The 27,870-nt window shown below is 37.9% G+C and overlaps 1 protein-coding gene across 14 annotated transcripts; it reads left to right on the forward strand.

The window, feature by feature from the left end:
• Window positions 1–353: 353 nt before the first annotated feature.
• Window positions 354–27,800, forward strand: ZNF85 (zinc finger protein 85). 14 transcript variants are annotated; one of them, XM_047439353.1, is made up of 6 exons: window positions 354–519; window positions 11,127–11,253; window positions 12,052–12,150; window positions 21,355–21,399; window positions 23,403–23,492; window positions 25,847–27,800. In XM_047439353.1, the coding sequence occupies exons 2-6, from the start codon at window positions 11,220–11,222 to the stop codon at window positions 27,403–27,405; spliced, it is 1,827 nt and encodes a 608-aa protein (XP_047295309.1). In that variant the 5' UTR covers window positions 354–519; window positions 11,127–11,219; the 3' UTR covers window positions 27,406–27,800. The 14 variants fall into 14 exon arrangements, 13 of the variants coding, with proteins under 13 accessions (XP_047295309.1, XP_011526565.1, NP_001243100.1 ...); XM_011528263.3 differs by having other exon boundaries at window positions 354–506; NM_001256171.2 differs by lacking the exon at window positions 21,355–21,399 and having other exon boundaries at window positions 354–506.
• Window positions 27,801–27,870: the final 70 nt, after the last annotated feature.

Below are 27,870 nucleotides of genomic sequence, written 5' to 3' on the forward strand. Positions count from 1 at the left end.
ACAGGAAGGTCATAAAATCTAAAATTTTAGAACAATTGTTGTTATACTTTGTTCATTTGTGAATAGCCATATAATATATTATTTTTGAATGCATATAAATTGATACACAAGGTAAGGGCAAATACTCTCTGGTGTGAGCCTGGCTCAGCTCAGGAAGGAAGCCCTGTCTGAAAAGGCTGCAGCCTAGGCTGTCACTCGCTCTTCTTTCAGCCCAGCATCTGATCACATCTTCTGTCACTCAGGGCCTGAAAAGAAGGTGCCTTAAATATCATCCAATCAGAGACGCTGGGCTGGGAACCGTCCAATCAGGAACGCAGCTGGTGCGGATAGGGCGGCTTCCGGGATGTGGCGGGGCCTTTGTCTCTCGCTGCAGCCTGAGCTCTAGGTCTTGTTTTCCCTGCTTTGTGTTTTCTGCTCGTGGACGCCCAGCCTCTGTGGCCCTGTGGCCTGCAGGTATTGGGAGATCCACAGCTAAGACGCCGGGACCCCCTGGAAGCCTAGAAATGGTGAGAGTGCCAGGTCCGCCATCCCGAGGGGGAAAGGGGTTGGTTGAAACCGGTGGGAAGCGGCTGTGGCGGGACTCAGGCCTCCCTGTAGTCAGCTCCACAATCTGCGCTCCAGTTCTTTTTGCCCAGCTCGGCCCCAGTTCCTCCAGCCATAAGATGGCGGCTGCGCTGACAGCCGGCCCGGGCGTCCTGTCTCTTCCCTGCGCAGTGACTGTGCCCTGGACTGGAGCCCTCTCTGGGCAGCTCTGCATTCGCAGCACCGCGTCTCTCCCAGATTGAGCAGGGACCACGGGAGGGTTGTCAGGGGAGAATCCTGACTCGGGGTGCGGGTTCATGAAAGAGCTTTGGGCTGTGGGGTTCCCAGTTCCTCTTTTTTTCTGTTAAAAATGTATGGGGGGACGGGCGTGGTGGCTCACGCCTGTAATTTCAGCACTTTGGGAAGCCGAGGCGGGCGGATCATCTGAGGTCAGGAGTTCAAGACCATCCTGGCCAACATGGTGAAACCCCGTCTCAATTTTTAAAAATACAAAAATTAGCCGGGCGTCGTGGCGCGCGCCTGCAATCCCAGCTACTCAGGAGTTTGAGGCAGGAGAATCGCTTGAACCCGGGAGGCGGAGGTTGCAGTGAGCCTACATCGCGCCACTGCACTCCAGCCTGGGCAATAAGAGTGAAACTCCGTCTCAAAAAAAAAAAAAAAAGATGTATAGGAGTCACCGCAAAAATATTAAAGAACTTAAAAAGTGGTTCAAGTATTGTAGAGCACTCAGCTATGGTTTGTAGTTTGTGGTCCATGGGAGGAGCTTGAATAAAAGACTTTTATAAGGTGCATGATAAAAAAATCAAATTAGTAATTGGTTAGGTACAGTTATATAGTCTCTTAATTTGTACGATCGTGTTGGCAATTTTCTGGTTATGTGATCAGAATTTAATTGGCAGTTTATAGTTGGTTAAGCCTGAATTTTGTTTTCCCCGATGTGGTAATTTACTAAAAAATGAAATTTTAGTTAGATTTTTTTAAAAAGGAGGACCCCAGGGACTAGAGCCACCTCAGTCTAATTGCCTGCCACTGAATCATTTTCACAGTCCACAGGGGACTTCTTTTCCCCTGCATTTTTCACATATGTCTCAAGCAGGGTCTCAAGTCTACTTCTTACTCCCTGTTCTTCCAGATTAACTCTGATTTACAGTAAAATACTAAATTTCCAGTGTCATTGACATTCCCAAATGCCACCTTCCCCTCTCTGATACACATTATCAATTATTTGTCCTTTATTGTACATTTTATATTTCAATTAATAATTCTTCCACAAAACATTGGATGGCACTATTTAAAAAATTGTCTTCTGTTTGTAAATATTTCCCATGAGAAGAAAGTGAATAATAATCCCTGACACCATATTGTAAAAAAATCTCTGTGTCTCTTTTCCTTTTATCTTCCCTAGGCACAGAGTTCTTATCAGAATATTGGTGGGTCAAGGTTTCCGTTTGGAGACTTTATGGTGTGATGGGTCATCAGCCACTCTTCAGTTTTTTCCTGGTCCTGGGTTTTCAGTACTGTATGGGGATAAACCAGGATGCCCACCATTGTGGCTATGTTGGCTAGAGTGTCTAGTGAATATCAGCTCCTGGGTCATTTTCTCTCATAGGACAACCTGAGGTATGAAGTGTATCCTATCAAGGGAGCAGGTAGATACCCAGGGTCTGAGTGCAGTCTCCTGGTGTACTCTTCCTTTGAAAAGCTAACTCCTTGAGACATTAAAATTGACTTCACCCAGCTGGGCGCGGTGGCTCACACCTGTAATCCCAGCACTTTGTGAGGCCGAGGCGGGCGGATCGCGAGGTCAGGAATTTGAGACCAGCATGGCCAATATGGTGAAACCCCATCTCTACTAAAAATACAAAAATTAGCCAGGCCTGGTGGCACACACCTGTAATCCCAGCTACTAGGGAGGCTGAGGCAGAAGAATTACTTGAACCCGGGAGGTGGAGGTTGCAGTGAGCCAAGGTCATGCCACTGCACTCTAGCCTGGGTGAAAGAGCGAGACTGTATACAAAAAAAAAAAAAAAAGATTGACTTCACCCAACCCAGCTTCTATTTCTTGGAGACACATTGAGAGAAAAATGCAGAAATAATTTTTACCCCCTGGATTCTCTAAGATTTGTGAAAGAAAAAATAGTATCCCAAAAGACAAAAAAAAGGTCACCCCAGTGAGATGGTGCAAGAACTTGCAAAGTAAAATGCACTTGGGGCAGTCACTGGGGCATAGTGTAGTGTCTCTTGAGAGGTTGGTCATTGAGAACTTTAGTGAGCAGGAGCGGGTGGGAGAATCTTTCAAGTGATTGAACGGCCTGACTTGACACATAGGTCAGACACATCTCTTTTCTAATCAGCACTGTCCCTCTGTGGGTTTGTCACCTTGAAAAGATTTGTTCACTTATTTTGACTTCAGCTTCTTTTAATTGTAAATTGCATTTGATTAGTAAAGTTTAAAAGGCACAAAAATATTTGCACAGGGTGTAAAAGAAGTGGGTTTTAGAAAAAAATTAAAATCTAATCATATATTCCATTTGTTAAGAATTCTCATTTACTTGTTCCTTTGTCAGAGTGAGTTTAAAAATTTTCTCAGGTGTGCTTATGGCTGGGTGATTTTAAACAGAATTCCAAGGCTTAGCTTTTAGAATGTTATCAGGGAAAAAATTAGGAAAAATCTCTCTTCCATTTTGGCTGTAGAAAATAAATAGATTTCCACAAGAAAATGTGGTATATAATTGGTGAGTTACATAGATTCATGAAAACACAAATTTCTCTTTTTGCAGGGTAAAGTTGTGACAGTGAATATTTCTGTCCCATATCCTGTTATCTTGATTTTTAAGTTTCATGATAAATTTTATGAGATGAAACTTGGTACCTCCTAGAAGTGTTCCCATGACTAATTGTTTACTACATGATTTTTTATAGAAATAATAAAATAATACATTTATTGTCTGAAAGGAATAAATGCTTTTGCTTTTCTAATTGAGGTATAAAATGTAAGCACCAAAAATTTTCTTTTTTTATATGAACACTGTGTTTGAGTGATTTCATTGGAGTTTTCAGTTTCAAAAACCAAGGGAATAAATCTGACATGGAAATTAAAGCTTGAACCCAGTGACTCCAACCTAAGGCTAATATTGAGCCTACAAAAAAAAAAGATTATTAAAGGCCCAGTTAGTTCTTTCTGGGGAGCCTCCCCTGCAGATGTCCCAGCCTGCTCACCCCAGCCATGGAAGAAGTCTTTCCATCCTGAGAGAAGCTCCAAAGCCTTGGAAAGCTGGGGCCCCACAGGCAGATGCAGTTAAGGTTAAGATGAAAGGAAACTGGGAGGGTCTCACTGATGATAAAGTTTTTTATTGTTTTGAGGCACTGTCTAGACTTTGTAAAATAAAACAAAGTTAGATTTGTGTAAAAAAAAAAATTGAATTCCAAAGGAATATTGCAACAGGAGGAAGTACCAACTATATCATCTTTATGGCTTGCAAAGTTTAGGCAGACAAAGGCTTTGTTTCCTAGGGAGGAGCATAAAAGATTAGAAAAAAGGTGGGAGGGGAGTGGCAAATGGAGTGTGAAAAAAATCAGATTTTAGATCAGATAATGTTTTACCCTGAAGTCAGCATGTTCATAGGAGGGACATAAAATGGGGTTGTATGTTGACTCACACTCAGGGTAGCTCAAAGTTCAGGAGCCTGTGGGAAAAAAATAAACTTAAGTTTGATTAAGAAGTATTTTATTTCTGTGCGTGGTGGCTCACACCTGTAATCCCAGCACTTTGGGAGGCTGAGATGGGCATTTCACCTGAGGTCAGGAGTTTGAGACCAGCCTGACCAACACAGAGAAACCCCATCTCTACTAAAAATACAAAATTAGCCAGGCGTGGTGGTGCATGCCTGTAATCCCAGCTACTCAGGAGGCGGAGGCAGGAGAATCCCTTGAATCCAGGAGGTGGAGGTTGTTGTGAGCTGTTATCACGCCATTGCACTCTAGCCTGGGCAACAAGATCAAAAGTGTCTCAAAAAAAAAAAAGTATTTTATTTAGACCAGTGAAGACAAATTCAGCTCATTTTTTTAATGAGAAAAGGAAGAAAATGTGTACAGTATGTATCTGGCTATGTGATAGGTAAGAAAAGGGAGTGTCTTCTAAGTCATAATAAGAAGGGTGTTTTTGGCTGGGCATGGTGGCTCACACCTGTAATCCCAACACTGGGAGGCTGAGGCGTGAGGATCACGAGGTCAGGAGTTCAAGACCAGCCTGGCCAAGATGGTGAAACCCTGTCTCTACTAAAAATACAAAAATTAGCTGGGCGTGGTGGTGTGTGCCTGTAGTCCCAGCTACTTGGGAGGCTGAGGCAGAAGAATCGCTTGAACCGGCAGGCGGAGGTTGCAGTGAGCCGAGATCATGCCACTACACTCCACCCTGGCGACAGAGCAAGACTCCATCTGAGGGGGAAAAAAAGTGTTTCTTTTCATAAACTGTTGCTGGAGCACACAAAGGATGACTTTTATTAATCACAGCTATTTTCCAGGATTATGTATGTGTTTCATTTTTCCCCACCTCTTTTTTTGTCCTATACATTTCTTTCATTTGACTTCTTCTGGGTTGTATCTTTTATAATAAACTACAGAGTTTGCTGGGTTCTGTGAGTAGCTCTATCAAATTATTGAACTAGAGGGAGGTTATGGGAATCCCCAAATTTTAAACAGTAGCTCAGAAGCATAGGTGGGCCTATGGGGTTTGTGACTGGCATCTGTAATGAGGGCAGTGTTGTGGGACTGAACCCTGAATCGGGGTCTGTGCTGACTCTGGGTGGTGTCAGAATTCAAATTTCAGATAATGAGTAGGTGCTGGAGAATTGCTTTGTGTTCAGCAAACTCTATAGATTTGATACCAGAAAAAAGATATCACAGAGGCCTGGCCTCGAATGGAACTCTGGGTGTCTGGGAAGGGGAGGCTCTGCTCTCCTGTACACAGGCTGTCACACTGCCCATTGTCTTGTGATTCCAGGTCTCCTCCCAGGGTGACTGTGGACTGAAAACTTAGAGGAAAGGACCTCTGATGACAGACCCCCTTTTCTTGCAGCTGCCACCACAGGAGTCCCACCCACTCACACACACTAGACATTGACGTGTCCACATCCCTCTCAAGACTAGTCATCATCCTCAGGAATTTCACCACAGCATTGTGGATCCTAGTATTTCTTGCCAAAATCCCACAAGAGTGTCTACAAGTCTCCTGGCATATCCCAACCCCCAGACACTGAATCTGCAGCAGCAAACTGTTTTCTCCACCAACCTAGGGTTCTGGACCACCTGTTCATAATCTCATCTGCCTGCACAGGCACAAATAAATCAGAGTACAGCCCCACCGGGACCGCTGTCTGTAGCAAAAACCTACAGTCCTTCCACCTACATTGCACTTTACCCCACCCATGAAGTTTTTTTCTTTTAACTTTTGATTTTGGTTCAGGGGTACACGTGCAGGTTTCTTATATAGGTAAAATTGTGTCACGGGGGTTTGGTGTAGATTATTTTCTCACAGAGGTACTAAGCATAGCACCAAACCAATATTTATTCAAATTCTCCTTGTCATCTCACCCTCCACCCTTACTAGGCCTCAGTGTCTGTTGTTTCTTTCTTTGTGTACGTGTTCTTATTTAGCTCTTACTTTTTTTTTTTTTGAGATAGAGTCTTGCTCTGTCACCCAGGCTGGAGTACAGTGACAGGATTCACTAGACAAAAACTGATCTCTTCTTTTTTTTTTTTTTGTTTGAGACACCGTCTTGCTCTGTCACCCAGGCTGGAGTGCAATGGCATGATCTCAGCTTACTGCAACCTCCGCCTCCCAGGTTCAAGCAATTCTTCTGCCTCAGCCTCCCAAGTAGCTGAGACTACAGGTGCACACCACCACACCTGGCTAATTTTTGTATTTTTAGTAGAGACAGGGCTTCACCATCTTGGCCAGGTTGGTCTCAAACTCCTGACCTTGTGATCCCACCTCAGCCTCCAAAAGTGCTGGGATTACAGGCATGAGCCACTGCACCCAGCCTATTTCTATTTCTTTAACCTTGCTAAGAATACATATGTATCTTATAATAAAATTACCCTAGAAAACCTTAAAATATTTCTTTAAATTTCTTAGTATATGTTATAAAATTGAGGGGGCAGTGGCTTGGCTTAAAAAGATTAAGATTACACAAACTCTGGGATTTAAGTTTCTCTTAGGTAAGCTTAGGAAAAACAGAACTGGAAATACCCTAGTGGCATAGAGAACAGAGTTCTACATAGGGTCCTCTCCCTGCCCCAGTTCTGTTTAGATTTAACCTATTTGGAGGCCTTATTTAGGTCTGGCCCCACCCTGGAGTCTTGCCTCACACAATTTGTTAGAAGAAATCAAAGTTTTGGGCCAGGCGTGGTGGCTTACGCCTATAATCCCAGCACTTTGGGAGGCCAAAGCAGGCAGATCATAAGGTCAGGAGTTCGAGACCAGCCTGACCAACATGGTGAAACCCCATCCCTACTTAAAAAATACAAAAATTACCCTGGTATGTTGGCATGCACCCGTAATCCCAGTTACTTGGGAGGCTGAGGCAGGAGAATCTCTTGAGCCCAGGAGGCAGAGGTTACAGTGAGCTGAGATCATGCCATTGCACTCCAGCCTGGGTGACAGAGCAAGACTCCGTCCCAAAAAAAAAAAAAAAAAAAAAAGAAATCAGAGTTTTTGTCTGGTGAATCCTTCTGCCTTTCTAGAGTTCATGCTCACAATTTCCTTAAACCCCAAAACAGATAAATGGTAAAAATAAAGTATGTATTTTAGGGTCTTAATTTTTAAATTTTGTATTAAAGTGAGTGCTTGCAGAAACATTCTATTTAACAACTTGTTTTCTATTTTTGCAAATCCAGTAGTTGCTCTGCAAGTCACATAAAATTAAATACAAACACAGTAAAAAACTTCTCTAAAATACATTAAACTTTCCTTTCTGTATTCCTCTCATCTGTCTATATTTAGCTTTTCTTCTATGCAATTAAAAAAAATCAATGACAGAGAAACAAGAAGAAATGGAAAGGCAGGGCTCTTTATTTAAATCCTAAGAATTATTAAACACTTAATAACATCTTTCAGGGTGTTATGATGATGAAATCACGTAATGTGTTATGGCCAACACAGTGCTTTTTAACATCCTTTTGAGTACATAGTTCCTGCTTAATATATCTTGCATTAGTACAGGTGTACATGTTGTTGCCAAATGCAGGCTTATTCAAACATTGCTGCCTTCTGTTTCCTCTGTAAACTTTAATGAGCCAGCAAAGAATATGATACTTAAGGATGGAGATGGATTTTATTTATTTATTTAGAGACAGAGTTTCGCTCTTGCTGCCCAGACTGGAGTGCAATGGCACGATCTTGGCCCACCACAACCTCTGCCTCCCAGGTTCAAATGATTCTCCTGCCTCAGCCTCCCTAGTAGCTGGGATTACAGACATGCACCACCACACCCAGCTAATTTTTTTGTATTTTTAGTAGAGACTGCGTTTCTCCATGTTGGTCAGGCTGGTCTCAAACTCCCGACCTCTGGTGATCCACCTGCCTCGGCCTCCCAAAGTGCTGAAATTACATGCATGAGCCACTGCGCCTGGCAGAGATGGGTTGTCTTTATTTGTACCAGAAGTATTTGGTTGTGACAAGAGTGCTGAGTGTAAGGGAACCTGTGCTGTGCCTGCTTTCTCTAATGCCAATAATGAGCCCAAGGGAAGCAACATCAGCACTGACAGGGTTGTTACCTATTCATGGACTCTTTTCAAACCTGCAGAATCATATTACATAGAATGGAGCCAAAATTACCAAGTGATTTATAAGCTCATTAAAACTTGAGAGGCAATGCTTAGCTAAGTGGTTATCAGCCCAGGCTTCTCATTAGGATTCCATGGCCAATTTGCAGAAATCTCTTTACTTGTGCCCTTTCCACAGATTCTGTTTATTGTTCTAGGGGGAAGCAGTCATGTTGTAGTAATGAAGTGCCTCATGTGACTCTTAAGTTGAGGCCAGAATCAAGTATGAGGTGTTCCAGATACATTCATGAGTTAAGTTCCACCTTTGCACTAAAGGGTGGCCGCAGGACTGTTTCTGTTTGGATTTGGTAGGGACAGAGCAATGTGGCCATATTTTCTTTTTCTTTTTCTTTTTCTTTTTTTTTTTTTTTTTTTGAGGTGCAGTTTCACTGGAGTGCAGTGGTGCAATCTCGGCTTACTGCAACCTCTGCCTGCTGGGTTCAAGCGATTCTCTTGCTTCAGCCTCCCGAGTAGTTGGGACTACAGGCACATGCCACCACGCCTGGCTAATTTTTTCTATTTTTAGTAGAGATGCTGTTTCATCGTGTTAGCCAGGATGGTCTCAATCTTCTGACCTCAGGATCTGCCTGCCTCGGCCTCCCAAAGTACTGGGATTATAGGCGTGAGCCACCAAGCCCGGCCATGGCCCATATTTTCATTATTGTAGCAGAAATTGCTGGTGTCTGTGACAGGGGAGGGCACCTGAGAACAGGAAAAGTGAAACATATTTTGATACCCATGGAGCAGCTCATTGTTCCTGAATCTCTTCCATTATAAAGGACATAAATGAGTGAGCTTTTTCTGCAGGTCTTGATCCTTCTGCCTGTGGGTCTGGTGGTAGCAGATGAGCAGTTGATGTTGACATCTTTAAAGACATATTCTCAACATGCAGCTGTAATTTGTTCAAAGAATCTCATCTGGAAAGGATTCCCAGAAAAGGAGGAAAAAGAGGAAAAAAATGGCTTCTTTTTTTAAAGCAAAACATGTCTCAGATCAAGAGCTGTGTCCACTTTGCCTCCTAGAATGCCATGCAAATCATTACTTCTCTATTGTATTACCCCTCCCTAAAGAGTTTAACTACTTGTAAAAATTCTTATGATAGTCAAGGGTGTCTGAAAAGTATTTTTTTTCTATATACCAGAGCCCTTTCTACATTCTTTACATTGTGGCTTTTTATATGCCATGCAGAATTCCTACCACAAATTTATAATCTGCACTATTAAAAATGTTCCCTTTGTGGCTCTTGAACATGAAAAGGTGTGGATACTCAAGATTTCTATTGGGGGAAAGCTGGAGTCATTTGTAAAGATGGAAAACATGTAATGTTGAGGTTCCATCTGTATTCTCCATTACCTCTGTGCAAAACAGGATCAAGGAAATGCTTAGTTAAACAAGATGACATTTATTACCCAGAAAGTTCTAAAAAAAAAATTATCAGGAGATACCTGCTCTCTAGGGTGCTAAAGAAAGATGATTTAAAATTACTATTACAAATTATAGACAGGGAAGATATCTGTATCCTGAACTTTGCATAAAACTGATTTTTTAATGTTAAAATTCAGACTATAGTTTGGAGGAGCAGTATCACAGCCGTGATGCTGTGTCATTTCATGTGCATCAACACATCATAAAAATATGTCCTAGGATGGGCGCGGTGGCTCAGCCTGTAATCCCAGCACTTTGGGAGGCTAAGGCAGGCAGATCACAAGGTCAGGAGATCTAGACCATCCTGGGAATGGTGAAACCCCGTCTCTACTAAAAATACAAAAAAAAAAAAAATTAGCCGGGCATGGTGGTGGGCACCTGTGGCCCCAGCTACTTGGGAGGCTGAGGCGGGAGAATGCCGTGAACCCAGGAGGCGGAGCTTGCAGTGAGCTGAGATTGCACCACTGCACTCCAGCCTGGGCAGCAGAGCGAGACTCCGTCTCAAAAAAAAAAAAAAAAAAAATTTGTCCTAGTGCAGTTCATGTTAATGATTCACTTGGTTAAAGAGCTCTCTGACAGATTTTGTCACTATAGAGATAATTATTTTTTCTTCATTATTATCTTAATGCAGCTAATGTGCATAAACCATCACAGTTAATCCAGCAGCTGCCCTTTTTTCTTAGTTTTTTTTTTTTGCATACATCTGTCTTTGGAAAGTCAAAGCTCTTATCTTTGTTTACAGGCCAGAAAAATTAGGAAAAACACAGGTTCTTCCCCTTACTGGATGTTTGACAAAATATTCTTCTTGGCCAAAAACATTAACCTTACTGGTGAGCTTGTTAGAAATTCAGACAATCAGACTTTATTCCAGATCATCTGAAAAAATAATCTGCATTAACAAGTTCTCCAGTTTATTGTACACATTAAAATTTAAAAAGTACCTTCTAACTCAACCTGTCTTTTCCATCTGAAAAATATACACAACTCATTCTGTAGAATGTGTATATGGCATCCAAAAATACACATTTTTATGCCCTTAATTTTATACTATATCATCCAGAAAAGTATCATGTATACACTGGTATTGTGGATCTTATGCCACTCTCTTTTCTTAGAGTTAAAAAATATATTAGAGAATATTTCTGTGTTAAAAAAATTATTTTATTTTATAATTTTAGTCACTCCTGTAAGTCAGAAACAGTTACCTGTACTCTCTCATTTCACCTTGAGTAAAATTAAAAATGCTTTTCATAACCAGTTGGTAATTATGTGTGTGTGTGTGTGTGTGTGTGTGTGTGTGTGTGTGTGTATGTGTATGTGTGTGTATCTTTCAGGGACCATTGACATTTAGGGATGTGGCCATAGAATTCTCTCTGAAGGAGTGGCAATGCCTGGACACTGCACAGCGGAATTTATATAGAAATGTGATGTTAGAGAACTACAGAAACCTGGTCTTCCTGGGTGAGGATAACTTCAATACACAATTTCTAATATGCCCTAAAGGTTTTATTTCTTTTATTTGTGGAATGTTTTTCTGGTAAAGTGTGCTTTGCATAAATTAGTTTCAGATCCCTGTTTTCAAGAAAATCTTGGGGATTAATACATGTAGAAAAGAATTTCTGCAAGATGTTTCATTTTGACCTTAACTTTCCAAATTTCTGAGCTGATCTGTATCCTTCACTGTAGATTACTAAATTCCACAAATTTAATGGCATAAAATTTTTGCCCACACCTTAAAATGTAATTGCCAACACCAATTTTTGATTCAATAGTACTGGATAGTAAAATTAAGAAACTGGGCCAGGCTTGGTGGCTCACGCCTGTAATCCCAGCACTTCGGGAGGCTGAGGCGGACGGATCACGAGGTCAGGAGATCGAGACCATCCTGGCTAACACGGTGAAACCCCGTCTCTACTAAAAATACAAAAAATTAGCTGGGTGTGGTGGCAGGCACCTGTAGTCCTGTAGTCCCAGCTACTAAGGAGGCTGAGGTAGGAGAATGGCATGAACTCAGGAGGCGGAGCTTGCAGTGAGCTGAGATCACGCCATTGCACTCCAGCCTGGGTGACAGAATGAGAGTGAGACTCCATCTCAAAAAAAAAAAAAAAAAGAACCTACAAATCAAAAATATTTTTTAAATATTTGAAAATGTCTGTTATAAATTAGTATTTTGGGATTAATTTACTAGCTAAGCACATTACTAGATTGGTCATTAGAGAATATGAGCAAGATTTATATTATTTATTTTTAATAAAACAGGTATTACTGTTTCTAAGCCAGACCTGATCACTTGTCTGGAGCAAGGGAAAGAGGCCTGGAGTATGAAGAGACATGAGATCATGGTGGCCAAACCCACAGGTAGGTGAAAGTGAAAATGAATACAGCAGATGACACATGAGAGGTCCAAAGGCCAAAGAGAAAGCCAGTCCTTAAAATGTGATTTAGGAAGCTGTGTTCCAAAGAAAATAGTTTCTCAGAAGCCTGAGGTTTCTTTCTTTCTTTTTTGCTCTCACATGGGGGCATCTTCTGTCTTATACTTTTAAATTTTCTAAGGATTCTACTTTTCCTTCGGTGATCTTCAAGTTTGCAGTTAGAGCCAAAGTCCTCTTCGTGGCATATAAGAGACTGCGCAGTCTGGCTGCTTTTTCATTGTTTTGGGGGACACACAAATATCTGCATAATTTTGAAAAAGTCTATGTTAAGCAATATTTTTAATTGTATTTTTGCATCATGTTTGAAATATGTGAGTAGTGGTTTCTGTTCCATTGGGGGTTTTTTTGTTTGTTTTTCTGCACATTCCATCCTGTTTGTATTACTACATTCTTGAAATATAGTTTGAAATTATAAAGTATGATGCCCCTATGCTTTGTTCTTTTACCTCAAGATTGCTTTGGCTATTCAAAGTTTATTATAGTTTCATGTATGTTTTAGAATTGTATTTTTCATTACTGTAAAAGATGCCACTAGAATTTTTTTTTTTTTTATTTCGCTCTTGTTACCCAGGCTGGAGTGCAATGGTGTGATCTCGGCTCACCGCAACCTCTGCCTCAGGGTTTCTCAATGTTGGTCAGGCTGTTCTCAAACTCCCAACCTCAGGTGATCCATGTGCCTTGGCCTCCCAAAGTGCTAGGATTACAGGCGTGAGCCACCATGCCTGGCCACCACTAGAATTTTGATAGGGAGTTTGTTGAATCTATAGGTTACTTTGTATAATATGACACTTTAACAATATTTATCCTTTCAATGCATAGACATAAAATATTTTAAAATTTATTTGTGTCTTCTCTAGTTTCTTTCTATGATATCTTATATCTTCCAGTATAAAAATGTTTTACCTCTTTTGTTAAATTTGTTCTCAGAAATTTATTATTTTGATGCTATTATAAATAAGATTGTTTTCTTTATCAGATAGTTTGTTTTATGTATATGGAACCCTAATTTATACTTGTATGTTAATTTTATACTTTGCTAATTTACTGGGTGTATTTATTAGTTTAGACAGGTTTTAATGTACTATTCATGGTTTTCTATATATAAGATTATATGATCTACAACCAGCAACTTTTACTTATTTGTCTTCAATTTCAATGGCTTTAAAACAATTTTTTTACTAATTCTTCTGCCACATACTTCCAGTGCTATATTAAAATAGAAACATTGACAATGGTATTGGGAATGGGTGCTTGGTGTCACAAAAATCCTTTGAGAGACAAAGGATCTCTCAGCAAGGCTAGTTTACTTTCTGCAGAAAGAGTACACTCGCCAGCAGTTTTGCCAAGAGAATACACTAAACAAAGGAGGCAGGGTCATTTATAACCTGATGGGTCCACCCTACTGCTGTGTCCGGTTTCCATTGGCTACAACAGGACCTCACATTCTGTATTTGTCCCAGTTGGCTAGCAACTTAGAACTTTCTAAAAGAGGCAAAGGCAGAGGAGAACAAAGGAAGGAGGGAGCAACTTGTGGATGCTGAGAAAGGTAAAAACACCTCCAGATAAGGAATAGGAACAGGCTATGACCTAATGCTTGCTTGGACCAGTATAAGCATGCCAGGGCAAATATTTAGGCTAAAATGTGGGAGCTAAGAACACAAAGTACATTGATTTCTTTATCACGGCTAGCAGATATCTAAGAATGTCAGCACAGGTGTTTGAATACATTTTGCTTCTAAGAGAAGTTACTATTTATTCCTAATTACACGAGGAGGAAAGTCCCTTTGAAAAGGAACCTCTATTTCACATTTTACGATGAGCACAATATAGTTTTGCATTGGTGTATATGAATTTGAATGAGCAAACAGCTCTTCAAGTTTTTGGGGTTTTTTTGTTTGTTTTGTTTTTTGGGTTTTTGTTTTTTGTTTTTGAGACGGAGTCTCACTCTGTCATCAGGCTGGAGTGCAGTGGCACGATCTCGGCTCACTGCAACCTCCGCCTCCTGCGTTCAAGTATTCCCCTGCCTCAGCCTCCCAAGTAGCTGTGACTAAAGCCGTGCACCACAACGTCTGGCCAATTTTTTGTATTTTAGTAGAGACGAAGTTTCACCATATTGGCCAGGCGAGTCTCAAACTCCTGACCTCGTGATCCACCCACCTCAGCCTCCCAAAGTGCTTGGATTATAGACATGAGCCTCAGCGCCCAGCCCTCTTCAAGTTTTTATAAACCAGTTTCAGAAGGTAAAGATCTTCTGTTGGGCCCCCAGGGTGACGGGATGCCCTCTGAGTTTATAGTGCAGAGGAATTGTAGCTTGATCAGAAGGCTGCTGGGTCTGCACTAGGGTCCGCCTTTAGTTGGTTTGTTATAAGAGGCTTGGGTAGCTGTAACTCCCATTTTATTTTTGGACAAACTGAATATCCTTCAGGACTTCTATATATAAGGCAGACACTAGGGCAGGTTTCTGCAGTCGAGTCTGCTAATGGCAGGGCTTATATCAGGATGTGGATGAGTATGGCTTTCACTGAATACCAGAGAGCATTTCTCTGGGACACTGTGTGGGTTTCTGTGTAGGCAGAACTGGCCATAAACTGTGGCTTAGGGAGCTGGAACTGAGTCATTAAACTGCTTTGGGGACCACAGTAAAGGCCAAGGTCTGCAGGCCTGTCTGCATGTCTATAAATTGATGTCTTCCTCCAGGACTCTGGAAGGGCAGGGCCTCTTTCATACTGTGGCTGGGAGGAGTTTGGGATGACCAAGCTGGGTGGGCCATTTCTTTGGTCTATAGTCAAGAACAGAGTTTCTGTAGATTGCCACCTGAATGAGGGCCTGCCTTCCGAAACGGATACTCCTCAATCTTGGGCTTTAGCAGTTTCACAAGTCCCTCCCTGGATCTCAAAGCTCTTAGAGGCACTTATTTTGGAGATGGGGTCTTGCTTCAGAACCCAGACTAGTCTTGTTTTTTTGTTTTTGAGACGGAGTCTCACTCTGTCACACAGGCTTTAGTGCAGTGGCATGATCTTGGCTCACTCCCATCTCCTCCTGGGTTTAAGTGATTATCGTGCCTCAGCCTCCTAAGTAGCTAAAATTACAGGCACACACCACCACACAGGGCTAATTTTTGTATTTTTAATAGAGACATGGTTTTACCATGTTGGATAAGCTGATCTTGAACTTCTGACGTTAACCTTCCCACCTCAACCTTCCAAAGTGCTGGAATTACAGGCATGAGCCACTGCATTTGTCCTAGGATGCTCTTGAAATCCTGGCCTGAAGCAATTCTCCAACCTCAGTGTACCATGTAGCTGTCATTATAGGGGTGAGCCATGATGCCTGGCTCTCTCATAAGGGCATTTTTGTCAGGATTGGCTGAAAAAATTTTCTTGCTGTTGGGGCATAAGAAAGTAGGGCACCTTTTATTTTTCCATCTTGCTGATGTTACTCTCTATATACATTTTTCTTTCTATTTTCCATTTCAAACTTTTCTGTAATTTTAGATTCAGACATTTAGAACAATATGCTAGAATTTACATGTTATGCCTGAAGTAAATTATACAATTAGTAGGCACTCCATATTTACTAAAATAGTTACTTATAAATTTAAGTTTGCTGCAGGCAAAACGGAATTATAGGATATTCACCCACTTTCTTCAGCCTAAATCTAAATAATAGCATAATTTATTCCCAAATATTTGTTTTATATATCAGAGGCTCTAACCATATTCTGCTATATGTGTGTGTGTGTGTGTGTGTGTGTGTATATATATGTGTGTGTGTGTGTGTGTATTTTATTTAGCAGTTTAAGGCTATTTGCTTCTAAATTTGGATTGCAGCACTTTCATTTTGTGTAAAAATGCATATATTTAAAACAAAATTTATCTCGTTTCTTTTAAATGATTATAAAAAGTTTCTCATTACAATATTCTATTTATGCTTATACTGTATTTTCTCTGAAATTTTACTGCCATACAGTGCCTGCCAATGATTCAAAGTACCTGCTTTCCATGAGTACACTGTCAAATATTGTTGTCTAGACACATTCTTTCTTAATGGTACATCAATATTGCAAACCAGAGTTTAGGAGTAAACATTTATTACTGTCTTGCAGTTCCATATTAGTGTGTTTTAGTGTAGGCTTGTTTTTTGTTTTGTTTTTTGAGACAGTCTTGCTCTGTCACCCAGGCTGGAGTGCAGTGGCATGATCTCAGCTCACTGCAACCTCTGCCTCCTGGTTCAAGTGATTCTTCTGCCTCAGCCTCCCAAGTAGCTGGGACTACAGGCACACACCAGCACGGCTGGCTAATTTTTGTATATTTAGTAGAGATGGGGTTTCACCATATTGGCCAGGCTGGTCTCGGACTCCTGACCTAGTGACCCGCCCACCTCAGCCTCCCAAAGTGCTGAGATTACAGGCCTGAGCCACCACTCCCAGGTAGTGTAGGTTTCTTAACATCAGTTTATTGTGTTTTTTGCTTTTACTTATGCATTATAATTTTAAATAACTTGCAATTCTGTATGTACACGTTAAGTCAATGTGAGGTTTAATTAAGATACAAATCAGCCATATGTCTATAACAATCTGATTATATATGTGTGTGTGCTTATCTATAAATATGACCCCCAGTCTGGAGTGCAATGGCACAATCTCAGCTCACCGCAACCTCTGCCTTCTGGGTTCAAGCGATTCTCTTGCCTCAGCCTCCCAAGTTGCTGGGATTACAGGCATGCACCACCACACCCAGGTAATTTTGTATTTTTAGTAGAGACGGGGTTTCTCCATGTTGGTAAGGCTTGTCTCGAACTCCCGACCTCAGGTGATCCGCCCACCTCAGCCTCCCAAAGTGCTGGGATTACAGATGTGAGCCACTGTGCCTGACCTCTTAGCTGATTTTCAGTGGTTGTTTCATCTTGTTTAAGTGAGTAGTTATGGAGATACTCTTATTTTTACCATGCGTTTAATAATGAATATCTATTTCCTTTATGTGAAAAAAAAAAAAACACTTTGTGATATGAAGGTAATTCCTGAAAGGATTTATAATTCTATATTGTTTTCAGTTTTTTTCTTTAGAAAATTGTTTTTAAAACACATAAAGTTTGTCATCTTAAATCTATTGAAGTGTACATTTTAGGGCCAGGCATGGTTGTGGCTCACATCTGTAATCCCAGAGATTTGGAGAGGCCAAGACAAAGAGGATCACTTGAACCCAAAAGTTTGAGACCACCCTGGGCAACATATGGAGACTCCTTCTCTACAAAAAATTTCTTTAAAATGGCCTGGCATTTTGGTGTGCACTTGTGGTCCAAGATCTTTGGAAGATTGAAGAAAGAGGATTACTTGAGCCTGGGAATTTCAGACTATAGTCAACCATAATTGTGCCACTGCACTCTAGTTTAGGTGACGAAGTGAGACCCTGTCTCCAAAAAAAAAATAGCTTTATATTTCAGGAATGTTAAGTATATTCACATTGTTATGCAAAAGACTTCTAGAAATTTTACGTCTTGTAAAACCAAACTCAATACCCATTAAGTAACAGCAACCCATTTTACCCTCTCTGGTGCTCTTGACAAACACCCTTCCACTTTCTGTTTTTATGAGTGTGACCACTTAAGATATCTCATATAACTGGAATAATATAGTATCTATAATTTTATTACTAGCTTATTTTAAAGGGACATAATATTCTCAAAGGTTATCTTAAATTGTTACAAGATAATCTGTTTTAAGTCTGAAAAAATATTTCATTATATGTATATGTTACATTTTTTGATGTGTTTATAAATCAAGGGACATCTGGGTTGCTTCAGTTTTTTGGCTTATGTGAATACTGGTACAATAAACATGGATGCTCAAATATGTCTCCCAGGTTCTGTGTTGCATAGTTCGGATATACATTCATAAATGTGATTGCTGTACTTAATGATAATTCCAGTTTTAATTATCTGAGGAACATTTATAACATTTTAAAATAATGACTGCATCCTTGTTTTCCACCAGTTAGTATGAGTTTTATTTTCATTGCATCAGCAACAAATTTGGTGGGTTTTTTTATATTTTATAGTGGCCATTCTGATGGGTGTGAAGTGATTTTGTTTTTCATTGTTATTTTTATGCATTTCTCTACAAATTAGTAATTTTGTGTTTCCTTTCTTCCCTCCCCCCACTCTTCCTGCCCCAGGTGGAGTCTTGCTCCAGGCTGGTGTGCAGTAGCATGAACTGAGCTCACTGCAGCCTCTGCCTCTGGGGTTCAAGCAATTCTCCTCAGCCTCCTGAGTAGCTGGGATTACAGGCACATGCCGTCACACCCGGCTAATTTTTATATTTTTAGTAGAGACGGGGTTTCACCGTGTTGGTTATGCTGGTCTTGAACTCCTGACCTCAAGTGATCCACCCGTCTCAGCCTCTCAAAGTGCTGGGATTACAGGCATGAGCCACCGTGCCTGGCCACATTTCCTTTCAAATGCTTTTTCCCATTTGTGTATTCTTTTTGAGAAAAATTTAGTTCAATTATTTGTTCATTTCTAAATAAAATTATTCAACTTTATTGTTAAGTTTTACAAGTTGTTTATACATTCTCAATGTTAACTTCTATGATATGTGATTTGCAAATATTTTTAGCTATTTCCTAGGAGGCATTGTCACTCTATTGAATGTTTTCTTTGATGCGCAGAAACTTTGAAGTGTAATGCAGTTAAATTTTACTGTCTTTTCTTTGTTGCTCATGCGTTTAATGTCGTATCTAGGAAAATAGTGCCAAGACAAATGTCATGTCTTTCCCCCTTCATTTTTATATCTGGGCATTTTATTTAAAAATATTTTTCATATGTGGTTCAAGGATATAATCCATCTTCATCTTATCCATGTTGATATCCAGTTTTCAACATTATGTCTTGAAGAGGTTATCTTTTTTTCTATTGTGTGCTCATGGCAACTTTACAAGATCATTTGATCATATACAGATTTCTGTGCTCTCTACTCTGTTCTTTGTTTATCTGTTTTTGTGTCAGTACCACATTGCTTTTGTTATTGTAGCTTTTATATTATTATTATTAATTTTTTTTTTTTCCTGAGACAGAGTCTCTCACTGTTTCCCAGGCTGGAGTGCAATGGCATAATCTCGGCTCACTGCAACCTCTGCCTTTCAGGTTCAGGAGTAGCTGGGATTACAGGCACCCACCTCCACACCTGGCTAATTTTTTGTATTCTTGGTAGAGACGGGGTTTCAGTATGTTGGCCAGACTGGTCTTGAACTCCTGACCTCATGATCCACCTGCCTTGGCCTCCCAAAGTGCTGGGATTACAGACGTGAGCCACCTTGCTGGCCTATTATGTTTTTAAATCAGGAAGTATAATGCCTCTGTTCTTTTTCATGGGTGTTTGGCTATAGTTTATAATCAAATTTTAAACAATATTTCTGTAAAAATATGTGGTATTGGGATTTCTAGTTAGATTATATTGAATTTGTTTGCCACTGTAGTTTGTATTGACATCTTTGAAAAATTAATTTTTTTGAAACTTGGGCAAGAATATGTTGAAGGGTGTGTTTTATTTTTACGTAATTTTGGATTTTCCAGTTTTGCTTTTAATTCCTAGTTGCATTCAGTTTTGGTCAGAAAACACACAGTGTATAATTTTTGTCTGCTTAAATTTATTTGTTGTTGTTGTCATTGTTATTTTGACGCAGAATCTTACTCTGTCACCCAGTCTGGAATGCAGTAGCAAGATTTTGGCCCACTGCAGCCTCAACCTTCTGGGGTCAAGTGATTGTTCCACCTCAGCCTCCCGAGTAGCTTGGACTACAGACATGCAGTACTATGCCTGGCTAATTTTTTGATTATTTGTAGAGACAGAGTCTCACTTTGTTGCCCAGTCTAGTCTCAAACTTCTGGCTCCAAATGATCCTCCTACCTTGGTCTCCCAAAGTGTTGGGATTATAGGTATGAGCCTGTTCACCCAGCCAGTATTCTTAAATTTAATAAGATTTGTTATGTGTCCTAACAGAATACACAAGGTGCAAATAAGAATGTTGTGTATTCTCTTGCTTTTGACTGAAAAGTTTTGTACATGTCTGTTAATCCTAGTTGGTCTGTGATGTGGTTTAGATGTTCGTGTTCTTCAAATCTTATGCTGCAATGTAATCCTCACTGTTGGATGTGGAACCTGGTGGGAGATGTTTAGATCATGGGGCAAATTTCTCATGAATGGCTTTGTACTATCCTCTTGGTAATCAAAAAGTTTACACTCTGTTAATTCAGATGAGAGCTGCCTCATTAAAAGAACCTGGCCCCTTCACCTCACATTTGGTTCTGTCTTTTACTATGTGATATGTCCAGTTACTGTTGGCCTTCCACCATTGTGGAAGCTTACTGAAACCTTCCACCAGAGGCAGATGCCGGCACACACTTCTTGTACAGTCTGCCCAACGATGAACCAAACAAGCCTTTTTATTTATAAATTATCCACTCTCAGGTATTCCTCTATGTGCAAAATAATATATTCTGTAACGTTGTCTAAGTTTTCTGTTTTCTTATTGATCTTTTGTCTGAATTTTCTATTTATTATTAAAAATGGGGTCTTGATGTCTACAATTATTATGTTGCTATGTATTTCTTGTTTCACTTTTGTCAATATTTGCTTTACGTATTTTGGAGCCCTAATGTTGTATATACATATACACATAAATAAATAGGCATAATAGTTTTAGATTCCTGGTAAATTGATCCATTTTACTATTGTATAATATCAGTCTTTGTCTCATGCTAGTACTTGACTTAAAGCATATAATGTCTAATATAATTATGAGTGTCTTACTCAATTGTGGTTATATTTGCATGTAATAAAAAGTTTTTCCATTCTGTTACTTTCAGCTTATTTGACTCTATATTTTCCAGTTTGTTATTGGTATTAAATATTATTTTATGTTGTGTATCTATTAACAGATTTATATTTTGTTTTTCATATTCTATAGAGGAAATTTAAGAGTTTTATGCACCATTATTTTGATAATAAATAATTTTATGTGTTGATATATTTAATAGTTTTTTATTTATATATGTTTTTATGATGCTGTTCAGCATCATTTTATTTTTTAACATAATGGACTCATTTAGCCTTTCTTTTTTATTTTGTATGCAGTGTCTCACTATGTTGCTCAGGCTGATCTTCAACTCCTAGTCTCAAGTAAGCTGACTGCCTTGGCCTCTTAAAACTGTAGGATTTACAGGCATGAGCCACTGCCTGGCAACCATGTAGCAGTTTTTGTAGGACTGTGGTAGGGGTGATGAATACCCTCACCTTTTATTTTGAAAAGTCTTTATTTTTATCTTGTTTTTGAAGTAAAGTAATTATAATTAGTAGTATAATTATTATATATTTTTATATACTTATATATTATATTAATATATAATTATAAACATATTTTCAAGTAGTATTGGTTAAGAATTTTTTATTACATCATAATTTGGAAAGTTCTCAGCTTTTTTAAATCTTCAAGTAACCTCTGTATTACTTTTTTGCTATATTATTCTATGATTTTTTTTCATGAATATATTGTTCTACTTGATGGTGTCCAATAAGTTTTACATTTCATGTTTTAATTTTGTTTTGCACTTTTATATTTTTGCGTTTTATATTTAAGGGTATTCCAGCTCACATTAGTTAATTGTGTTTGGATGTTTTAGTTTATATTATAATTGTGTATGAAAATATTTAACTCTGCAATTTATGACAGTGTGAAGCAAAATCAAATATGAATCAGCCATATGTCTATTGCTAATGTGTTTATGTTTGCTTGCCTGTATAAATATTATTTCTATTTTCCTATAACTTGTGTATTTATTGTGTAGTTTGGTTGTGAATGGTTGTTTAATCCTGTGTAGGTGAGTAGTCATAAAAATTCTTCTACTTTTATCATCTTATTTGTGAATCTATATTATTTCTGTGTGGGAGAAACACTTTTGAATTTTAAGATAATATAAAAACTATCATTACTCTGTATCTTAGGTATTTCTGTTTATTTTTACTTATCAAAAACATAAAATTTATAATAAAATATTTGTAAATATTCAATTTAGTGATCTTAATTATATTGACATTGTTTTGCAACATATCACCAAAATGTTTTTATCTTGCAAAGCTGAATCTGAATACACATTAAACAACTACCAATTTTTTCCATTTTGTAGCACTTTCCAAACACCACTCTGTTTTCCTTGTCTAAGGTTGTAACTGCTTTAAATATCCTATACAATCTCTGTCTTTCTGTGGCTGGCTCATTTTATTTGGCATAATGTCATCAAAACTTATATTTACAGTTGTCAGAATATTTCCTGCTTTTTGAAAACTGAGGGATATTCCAGTATTTTGTTTTCTGTTTTTTTGAGGTGAAGTTTCACGCTGTCGCCCAGGCTGGAGTACAGAGTGCAATGGCGCGATCTCGGCTCACTGCAGCCTCCGCCTCCTGGGTTCAAGCAATTCTCCTGCCTCAGCCTCTCAAGTAGCTGAGATTACAGGCATGCGCCACCATGCCCGGCTCATTTTTGTATTTTTAGTGGAGGTGGGGTTTCACCATGTTGGACACGCTGGTCTCGAACTCCTGACCTCATGTGATCCACCCGCCTTGGCCTTCCAAAGTGCTGGGATTACAGGTTTGAGCCACCGCACCCAGCCTATTCCAGTAATTTTATATTTCAAATTAAATCTGCTGGATGGTTTAATGACAGAAATTTGCATTGCTTTCACCCATTGGCTTTCAGTAACAATGCTGCAATAATTATGGGTAAGTAAATGACTCTTTATATGACATGTACATTACGTATGTACTGCATTCTCTTATTAGTCTATGTTTTCAGCTTTATACTTATACCAAGTTGTTTTAATTTTGTAGCTTTGTACTGTGTTTGAAATCAGGAAGTGTAATGCCTCAAACGTTTTTTTTTTTTGAAGATTGTTGGGTACTTTATTGTCTTTTGAGATTCCATATACTTCTGAGGTTGCTGTTTCTATTTCTTCAAAAATGCAATGAGAAGTTTTAAAAACATTGCCTTAAATGTGTAGATTACATTGAGCAGTATGAACATCTTTACAGCATTAATTATACCCTGATTCCATTTTTATCTTAAAGAGTAATTTATAAAATTTTAGTTCTAAAAAATTTGTTAAGACTTCTTTTTTTGTCCTAACAGGTTGTCTATCAAAAAGAATGTCGTATGAGCTATTGAGAAAGGTGTATATCCTGATGTTACTGAGGAGTGTTCTCTATGCCTCTGTTAGAAGTAATTGTTTTATATTGCCTTAAAGTTACCTGTTGCCTTCTAATATTCTTTTTTTTTATTATTATAGAAAGTAGGTATTGAAATATCCTACTATAAAAATTATATTGCACTCTATGTGTTTCATCGATTCTGTCAATATTTGTTTTATATATTTGGAACCTTAATGTGAGATATACACATGCACACACACACACACACACACACCCCACAAATGTATATAGAAATTTTTCAGAGGTTCTCAGTGAGTGAATCTATTATTGTTTAATGTCCTTCTTTGTCTCTTTGGAGTTTTGACTTTAAAGTACATTTTATAAAATATGACAGTTTTAACTTAAGATGTGTTGTGTAATATTACTTAGACCTCTTCTGCTCTCATTTGGTTAAAATTTGCATGGAATGTCTACTTCCATCTTGCCACTTTCAGTCTTTCTTTATCATTAGATCGCAACTGACTCTTGTAGAAAGGCAAGTTGAATCCTGGTTTTTAATTTTTTTAATAAATCCCTTTATTGAAAGTATGTCTTTTAATTAAAAAGTTAACTTTATGTATATTTAATTTTCTGAAACAGACTTACAAATGTTATTTTATTGTTTTAGTTGATTCTTGTTTCTTTGTTCCCAATTTTCTCTCTCTCTTTCTTTGTGTCATTTTTATTTTTGTACTAATATGCTTTCACTTTTTAAAATTTTCTTTTATATCTCTATACAGATTTTTTTGTGGTACCTTGGGGTTTACATAAAATCTCTAAAAGATGCAACAGTATATTTAATTATGGTAAAAAATGAACTTTAGTTGTATACAAAAAATCTTTCTCATTATATCTGCCCTCAACTTTCTTATTGATGTTGCTAATTATATCTTTATGTTGTAAGTACATTAATGAGTGTTTATAATAATTAGTGTTTTTATTTTTCAACTTTTAGAGAATAACTAAAAATGTTTTCTGCACCATTATGATAATGCTAAGGAATTCTAATTTTGGATATGTGCATATCTTTCCCAGAAAGTTATGCATTTTTATGTAATAATATGTTGTTTTCTTACATTATGTTATTTTTAGCATCTTTGATATGTAGGGCATATGCAGTGCCAATACACTTTTTTTTTTTTTTTTTTTTTTTTTTTTTACTAATTTCAGGACTATTACAATATCACATAGTTCCCTTCTCGCTTGCAAAATTTTCATGACAAATTTACTAGTAATCTCATAAGACTATGCTTATAAATGACACATCACTTTTATCTTGCATCTTTGAGGATTTTCTACTTTGTGACTTGAAATTGCACTCATGCATGTGTTTGTTATAAATATCTTTGTGTGTATTCTAGTTTGTTGAGCTTCTTCATTTTTACATCATTTTTTCTTATATTAAAATTTTTTTGTATTTTTCACCTCCACAATTTCTGTTTTTTGATATTTTTAATATTTTTGTTGTTATCCTCATTCTTCTAATTTTCAATTGTTGTCTGTGTTTCTATTTTCCTCACTGAATATTATTCAAGTTTTTCAAACTAATTTGTATATCTTTATTTTTAATGATAGCTTTCTGAAATTTTTATGTTTCTGATGGGGCTATGTTGCCCCAATATTTTTATATGTTGTAATCTTTCATTGAAATTTAGACATTAAAAACAAACCACCTGTAACAATCTTTATAATATAGCTTTGTCTTGGCATATCTGAAACCAATTGTCTTGGATAGAGATTCTGAGAGTTTCTCTAACATGTTCTTAGGATGTGTCTTGTCTGAAATGTTTTAGGTCTTTTTTAGTTAAAGGAGTTTGTTCATGTTTCTTCTTAATAGTCAGTAATCATTTGCTACAACTATTTCCTGCCTATAATATTGCAGTCTCTTTGCTGCTGTAGCATTTACCTTTGATCTCAGCAGACTCAAACTGCCATTCCAATGTATACCATTTATTTCAAGACAGAAACCAGTGTCTGGAAAAGTCCCTAGAAACCAGAAATAAAAATGTTTTTTGCCGCTATTTTTCTTGTCTTTTATAAAAGAAACCAAGAGTTGCCAATTTACTTCTAAAGCCACTGTGTTACATTGGGCAACCGAAATAGCTGTGTTGTAAATGTAACAAACTTTTTTTTTCCTATGTGGCTCTTTGCATTATGCTCACCTGGGGCACTGCACACACTTAACTCATTTATAAATTTTCCACAAATGTATTTTGGTCAGTATGTTTTTGTTACATTTAAATGTCTATGAAGGATTTAGGGCCTATGGTATTTTGCTGTGCCATCTTACTTAATGTAGTTTGTTTAATTTTATATATTACATTTGTAAACTATCTTCATCTAAGTCTAGCAAGTGGAGTAATTTGTCATTTTTGTTTCTTTCAGTTATGTGTTCTCATTTTGCCCAAGACCTTTGGCCGGAGCAGAATATAAAAGATTCTTTCCAAAAAGTGACACTGAAAAGATATGGAAAATGTAGACATGAAAATTTACCATTAAGAAAAGGCTGTGAAAGTATGGATGAGTGTAAGATGCACAAAGGAGGTTGTAATGGACTTAACCAATGTCTCACAGCTACCCAGAGCAAAATATTTCAATGTGATAAATATGTAAAAGTCGCTCATAAATTTTCAAATTCAAACAGACATGAGATAAGACATACTAAAAAGAAACCTTTCAAATGTACAAAATGTGGCAAATCATTTGGCATGATTTCATGCCTAACTGAACATAGCAGAATTCATACTAGAGTAAATTTCTACAAATGTGAAGAATGTGGAAAAGCCTTTAACTGGTCCTCAACCCTTACTAAACATAAGAGAATTCATACGGGAGAGAAACCTTACAAATGTGAAGAATGTGGTAAAGCCTTTAACCAGTCCTCAAACCTTATTAAACATAAGAAAATTCATACTGGAGAGAAACCCTACAAATGTGAAGAATGTGGCAAAACTTTTAACCGATTCTCAACTCTTACTACCCATAAGATAATTCATACTGGAGAGAAACCCTACAAATGTAAAGAATGTGGTAAAGCTTTTAACCGATCTTCAACCCTTACTACCCATAGAAAAATTCATACTGGAGAGAAACCTTACAAATGTGAAGAATGTGGCAAAGCCTTTAAGCAGTCCTCAAACCTTACTACACATAAGATAATTCATACTGGAGAGAAACCCTACAAATGTAAAAAATGTGGAAAAGCCTTTAACCAGTCTGCACACCTTACCACACATGAGGTAATTCATACTGGAGAGAAACCCTACAAATGTGAAAAATGTGGAAAAGCCTTTAATCATTTCTCACACCTTACTACACATAAGATAATTCATACTGGAGAGAAACCTTACAAATGTAAAGAATGTGGTAAAGCTTTTAAACACTCTTCAACCCTTACTAAACATAAGATAATTCATACTGGAGAGAAGCCTTACAAATGTAAAGAATGTGAAAAAGCTTTTAACCAATCCTCAAAACTTACTGAACATAAGAAAATTCATACTGGAGAGAAACCCTATGAATGTGAAAAATGTGGCAAAGCTTTTAACCAGTCCTCAAATCTTACTAGACATAAGAAAAGTCATACAGAAGAGAAACCTTACAAATGTGAAGAATGTGGCAAAGGTTTTAAATGGCCCTCAACCCTTACTATCCATAAGATAATTCATACTGGAGAGAAACCATACAAATGTGAAGAATGTGGCAAAGCTTTTAACCAATCCTCAAAACTTACCAAACATAAGAAAATTCATACTGGAGAGAAACCCTACACATGTGAAGAATGTGGCAAAGCCTTTAACCAGTCCTCAAACCTTACTAAACATAAGAGAATTCATACTGGAGAAAAACCTTACAAATGTGAAGAATGTGACAAAGCTTTTAAATGGTCCTCAGTCCTTACTAAACATAAGATAATTCATACCGGAGAAAAATTACAAATATGAAAATTATGGCAAAGCTTTAATCAATTTACAAGTCTTACTAAACATAAGAAAATTTATACTGGAGAGAAACTACTAACCTGAAAGATGTGACAATAATTTTGACAACACCTCAGACTTATAAAAGTAATCATACTGGTGAGAAATTCTAAAAATGTGAAGACTATGGCAAAGTCTTTAAATGGTTGTCACACTTTAGGTAAGATAATTCATATTGGAACAAACTACAAGTGCAAACAATGTGGCAAAACTTAATTTATGCTCACACCTTACTGCACAGAAAAGAATTTTTAGTTGAGAAAAAGTATACAAATATAAAGAATGTGGAAAAGCCGTTAATATCTGCTCACATCTTACTCAGCATCAGAAAGTACTTAATAAAAGCATTATAAATGGAATTACTGTCAAAAGCATTCAGAAAATATAAGCCTTTAATGTGAAAAAGAGTAACCATTTTGAAGACAAACA

This window comes from Homo sapiens, chromosome 19 (genome assembly GCF_000001405.40).
Source record: "Homo sapiens chromosome 19, GRCh38.p14 Primary Assembly".
NCBI classification, from domain to species: Eukaryota; Metazoa; Chordata; class Mammalia; order Primates; family Hominidae; genus Homo; species Homo sapiens.